The sequence below is a fragment of the Homo sapiens genome, chromosome 20 (genome assembly GCF_000001405.40).
Source record: "Homo sapiens chromosome 20, GRCh38.p14 Primary Assembly".
NCBI lineage: Eukaryota > Metazoa > Chordata > Mammalia > Primates > Hominidae > Homo > Homo sapiens.
Genome location: NC_000020.11, coordinates 45,317,863 through 45,323,945, shown reverse-complemented (window position 1 = coordinate 45,323,945; position 6,083 = coordinate 45,317,863). Strand labels below are relative to the sequence as shown.

At 49.5% G+C, this 6,083-nt stretch overlaps 1 pseudogene, besides 1 other annotated feature; it reads right to left on the bottom strand.

Annotated features, from left to right (window-relative positions):
- TRV-CAC14-1 (tRNA-Val (anticodon CAC) 14-1) lies at window positions 1,513–1,585 on the bottom strand (annotated as a pseudogene).
- Window positions 2,616–2,665: an enhancer, noted in NCBI's record as "active region_17946". NCBI's record gives its function as "activates an Ori minimal core promoter by ATAC-STARR-seq in GM12878 lymphoblastoid cells {active_cell/tissue: GM12878}" and the evidence as "EXISTENCE:reporter gene assay evidence [ECO:0000049][PMID:35858748]".

Here is a 6,083-nt window from a genome sequence, read left to right as displayed (position 1 = left end):
AGAACATTTCCAGTTGTAGAAATTCCTGTTAGGGCTGCTTTGGATGGTGTGAGACTGAGTCAGGACCTCTGGGTTTGGGTTTCAGCTTTTACCAGCTGTTACCTTGTGATCCAACAGCCTATAGGGAGGCAAGTCAGAGCTTAGCACACAATAAGTGCTCAATATATGGTGTTCTCATCATCAGTGCCATCTTTTTGGGTAAAGTATTAGTTTAAGAAGACCCCCCCAGGAGATTGAGACGATCCTGGCTAACACGGTGAAACTCCATCTCTACTAAAAGTACAAAAAAAATTAGCCGGGCGTGGCGGCGGGTGTCTGTAGTCCCAGCTACTCGGGAGGCTGAGGCAGGAGAATGGCGTGAAGCGGGGAGGCGGAGCTTGCAGTGAGCCGAGATCGTGCCACTGCACTCCAACCTGGGCGACAGAGCGAGACTCCATCTCAAAAAGAAAAAAAAAAAAAGAAGACCCCCATATTATCTATTGATATTTAAAATTACCCCCAAACTTAGGGGCTTATAACAACATAAATATTATCTCACATTGTTTCTGTGAGTCAGAAGTCAGGAGCATTAGCTGGGCGATTCTGGCTCCATCTTGTGAGGTTGCAGTCGACGTTGGCCAGGTCTTGCTGTCATCTGAAAGCTTGACTGGGCTGGAGGATCCACTTCCAAGATGGCTCAGTTACATTTCTGACAACTTGGTGCTGGCTATTTTGGCAGGAGGCCTCAGTTCCTCATTGCGTGGACCCACATAGAGCTGATTGACAGTCCTCGTGATGCGGCAGCTGGTTTCTCTCAGAACAAGCGATCCAAGAGAGCCACCAAGTGGAAGCTACAGTGACTTTTATGACTTAGCTTGGAAGTCACCCACTATCTCTTCCATAATATTGCATGGGTCACATGGGTCAGCCCTATTCATTGTGACAGGAGACCACCCAGGGGCAGGAGCACCTGGATACAAGACTCATTGGAAGCCATCCTAAATGCTGGCAGACATAGCCCCATCAGTGGTCAACCTCGACTAGGGCTTTATCTGTCTGGAGAGCCAACTCTGGTTATTTCTGATAATATATAATATTTCTGAGAATTGGGCAGTGGATGCAAAATGGATTTTGGACACTATTGGTCCACTTTTTGTTTTTTAATTTTTTGAGGTGGAGTCTCACTCTGTCGCCCAGGCTGGAGTGCCATGGTATGATCTCAGCTCACTGCTATCTCTGCCTCCCAGGTTCAAGTGATTCTCCTGCCTCAGCCTCCCAAGTAGCTGAGATTACAGGCATGTGCCACAATGCCTGGCTAATTTTTGTATTTTTAGTAGAGACAGGGTTTCACCATGTTGTCCAGGCTGGTCTCAAACTCCTGATCTCATGCGATCCGCCCACCTCGGCCTCCCAAAGTGTTGGGATTACAGGCATGAGCCACCACACCCGGCCAAAATGTAGGCACAGGTTTAACTAGTTTTCTGTTTGTTTCCAACCTCGATTAAACTCACTAAATTTAGGGGGAAAATCTCGTGTTTTGGCCCGGTCTCAAACTGGTGACCTTTCATGTGTGAGGCGAATGTGATAACCACTACATTACAGAAGCCAGGCATGGGCCCACTTTTTGTTCATGATCTTGCCAATCTTCAGAGGTAGCAAAACCATGGGACAATGCCTGCATGGGGTGTGGGAAGGCCTACAAGTGAAACACATCTCCCCTACTTATGATTTGCTATGTTGTTTGGGGAGTAGACAGAATTCTAAGATGGCCTGCAAGATTTCTGCCCTATATATACAACCTGTATAATTCTCTCTCCTTGAGGACCTGTAAATATGATGGGATGCCACAAGGTTTATGATTAGTTTACATTAGATAGCAAAGGTGAAAGTGCCCATCTGGTGGCAAGCAGCCAGCTGTAGTGGGGGTTTATCACTTTGCCCTCTAAATGCATTATTGTGCCACTGCTACCCTGCCTGCCTTTGTCCCTTAGGGTCTGGAACAGGGCCAAGCCTGTCTAGGAGGCTGTTCTGAGCTGGTCTGTGGCAAAACCTTATAGATGGTTTTGTTTGTTTGTTTTTCTTTTTTTAGACAGTCTCGCTCTGTTGCCCAGGCTGGAGTGCAGTGGCACAATCTCGGCTCACTGCAACCTCTGCCTCCTAGGTGCAAGCGATTCTTGTGCCTCAGCCACCCAAGTAGCTGGGACTACAGGTGCACGCCACCACGTCTGGCTACATTTTGTATTTTTTATTTTTTGAGACAGAGTCTTGTTGTCACCCAAGCTGGAGTGCAGTGGCGTGATCTCAGCTCACTGCAACTTTCGCCTCCTGGGTTCAAGCGATTCTTCTGTCCCAGTCTCCCAAGTAGCTGGGATTACAGGTGTGAGCCACCGTGCCCAGCCTATTTTTGTATTTTTAGTAGAGACGGGGTTTTACCATGTTGGCCAGGCTGGTCTGGAACTCCTGACCTCAAGTGATCTGAAGTGATCTGCCTGGCTCGGCCTCCCAAAGTGCTAGGATTACAAGTGTGAGCCACCATGCCTGGCCACAACCTTATAGATGTATTATGGGTTTCACTTCCCTTAAAACCACTTCCTCTTTCCCTTGCCATCTTCACAGGTCTGTGCCCTACCCAGGGGGAAGCTGTCAGAGAATTTTACCTATGCTGTGGTTATAACTTAATAGAAGTTAAAAAAAAAAAAGAAAGAAAGAAAGAGAGAGAAACCCCAAGGTCGGTACTTACTGGGGAACTAGCTTGTTAATAATGGTGGAACACCAGGCAGCATGAGAGCTGGTAAATTGGAGATTTGGGCCTTATCCTCACTACATGCCCCATCCCCACCCTCTGCAACACACATGTCACCTACACACAGCAGCGTGGTAGAATGAGAATGAAGAGAAACTCAGAGCCCCAGATTTAGTGGTAGGAGTGCAGGATTTGAATCAATTGTAGGCTTTGCCATCTGCTGTGACCTTAGCCTCCTCTCTTGGAGCCTCAGTTTCCCCATCTATAAAATGAGGAGGAAATACTGACTAGGGCCATGATTCTTAACCCTGGCTGCTCACTAGATTCACATGGGAGGGTTTCAAACAATACAGATGCCTGAGCTCCACACTCAGAGATGTTAATAGAATTGTTCCATGGCGTGGCCGGTATATTATTAGTATTATTTTTTTTTTTGAGACGGAGTTTCACTCTGCTGGAGAGACCCTAGGCTGGAGTGCAGTGGCGTGATCTCAGTTCGCTGCAGCCTCTGCCTCCTGGGTTCAAGCAATTCTCCTGCCTCAGCCTCCTGAGTAGCTGGGATTACAGGCACACGCCACCACGCCTGGCTAATGTTTTGAATTTTTAGTAGAGACAGGGTTTCACCATGTTGGCCAGGCTGGTCTCAAACTCCTGACCTCAGGTGATCCACCCACCTCGACCTCCCAAAGTGCTGGGATTACAGGCGTGAGCCACTGCGCCCGGCCCGGTATATTAATTTTTATAGCGTGGCAAATGATTCTAATATAAAGAGGACTAAATTAATCCATAAATGGGTTTTAGTGTTAGGAAATTCCCTGGAAGTATGTAGAATTCTGTGCATAAACCCCCAAAGGGTCTCCCTCTGTCACCCAGGCTGGAGTGTAGTGGCACAATCACAGCTCACTGCAGCTTCCACTACCTGTGCTCCAGTGATCCTCCCTCCTCAGCATCCCCCCGCCCCCACCCCATAGCTGGGACTACAGGCGTGCACCACCACACCGGCTAATTATTATTATTATTTTTTTATTTTTTTGAGACGGAGTCTCACTCTGTCCCCCAGGCTGGAGTGCAGTGGCACGATCTCGGCTCACTGCAAGCTCCGCCTCCCGGGTTCACGCCATTCTCCTGCCTCAGCCTCCCAAGTAGCTGGGACTACAGTCGCCCGCCACCACGCCTGGCTAATTTTTTGTATTTTTTGGTAGAGACGGGGTTTCACCGGGTTAGCCAGGTTGGTCTCTTATCTCCTGACCTCGTGATCCGCCCGCCTCGGCCTCCCAAAGTGCTGGGATTACAGGCGTGAGCCACTGCGCCCGGCCCTATTTTTACATTTTTTTGTAGAGATGGGGGAGGGGGTCTTGTTATGTTGCCCAGGGTGGTCTCGAACTCCTGGGCTTAAGTGATCCTTGCGCCTCGGCCTACCAAAGGGCTGGGATTAAGGCCCGGTTTTTAAATATAAATAAAATGAGAACTTAATGCTCGGGTGGAGAACAGTGCCACCTGCCGGTTTCACTTTGCATTAGCAATATCTAAATATCTGCCAATGCCATATAATGCAATTCACTGTTTATTGAGCACCAACTCAACATGCGAGGCATTGTGATGCACCCTTTAGGACATGCAGAGATAAGAGCTCCTTTCCCCATGAAGATGGCAGCCTAGAGGAGACAATGGGCATGTAGGTAAAACCTTTGATCCAAAGCAGGCAGTCGATATGGTCCCATTGAGGGTCTGTGGGAATACAAGAAAAAAGCCTGGGGCCAGGGCTGGCTTCGTGGTTGTGCAGCCTGTGCTTGGAAGGCCCCTGCACTTGGTTTCATCATTTCCTGTGGCTGTCTTGAAGTTCTTTTTTTTTTTTTAATCCCGTGTTCAGTCGAATTGAAATTCTTGAATAATTTTTGAACAACGGGCCATTTTGCACTGGGGCCCACAAATTATATAGCTAGTTCTACCTAGAGTAGTTTGGGAAATTTTGGAAGAGGCGACACAGGACCTGGCAGGGCAGTAGTGGAGGGAGAGGAAAACAGGAGGCATATGGTAGTGTGGAAGTGGGGGTGGGATCCTTAGGCCTGGGTGACTGGGTGGTGTGGGGGAAGGAGCTAGAGGTGGTGCTGCAAGGCAGGTGGAGAGGGAAAGGAGTTTGATGTTAGATGGCTTCAGACTCAGTGCAAGGAAGACCTCCAAGGACAGTTTCAGCAGCTGGAACTCAGAAGCTAGGCCAGGGCTGGAGCTTTGGTCACAGACTTCCAGATGGATACCTTGGGGACACCAAAGGTTATAGGATCCCCTGAGATGGGTGAGGACTAAGACAGAGCTGTATGGCTGGGTCTGGGCTTTTGGTCCAACCTAGATTATTGGCTTCTGGGACTCCTGCCTTGAGGAGTGGTGGAGGAAGACTTTGGGGGCAGGGCTGGACGATGAGCGCTTGAGCCCCAATTCCCCATGTGGTGCGCTATGACACTCTTCTCAGCCTCCTCCCTCCTGGCTGCCTGCTTCAACACCACCATGGACGGTGAGTCAGGCGCTCATTTCAGGGACATTTCCCATTCAACTCATTTGCTGCCTTCCTCAGCCAAGATTCACCTTCAGGGGCCACAGGCTTCTTCCTCACCCCTCACAGTGGGTTGCAGCCTGCTGATGGCAGATGGCAGAACTTAGTCAAGACTTTGGGAAGGCTAAAGAACATACCCCATTTCCTCTCCTCTGCGTATTGTTCGTTTCTTTTTTCTCATGGGACTTTCCATACCCTGGGGGAGGAGTTTTACAAGAAATGAGCTCTTCCTTAGGAGGGCAAGCTCTTCTCCAGAGGGTTAGAACCTAGAACCCACATTTCAGACCAGTTTTCCCATCAGGCACCACCAGAGGCTGGTGCAGGTAGCTGGCACCCATGATACTTATCTGTGTCCTTGATTCCAATAGCCCAAGCCAGTGTTCTGCCTGGTTTTTTTTTCCTTCCCTATAAAGCACAGACTGGGTAGAGTGGTACCTAGGGTGGGTAGGCTGGTGGGGAATAGATTGTGATTCTGTCCATCAGCCCCATGCAGAGAGGCCCCCCTCTCAACTACATTACTGCCCAGTCAATCCCAGGAGTTCTGCCCAGGGCTATCCTGGGAAAGCTTTGTTTTGAAAGGGTCCCGTGGTCACCTCTGGGCCTGGGGTGCACCCTTGCTTGGGATGGAGAGATAGCTAGTAGGGTAACAACCCCAGGGCAGGGACAGGGACTCAGGATGCCAGCTGCCTCTGCACCCTGTTCCTCCTCTAGAAAACGTCCAAAAGGTAGGCTCTCTGCTCCATCAGACTTGTGGTTCTTTTCTTTCTGTGCAGGTCCCCTCTTTTGTGTGTTGGTGCGAGGGTTGGGGGAGGC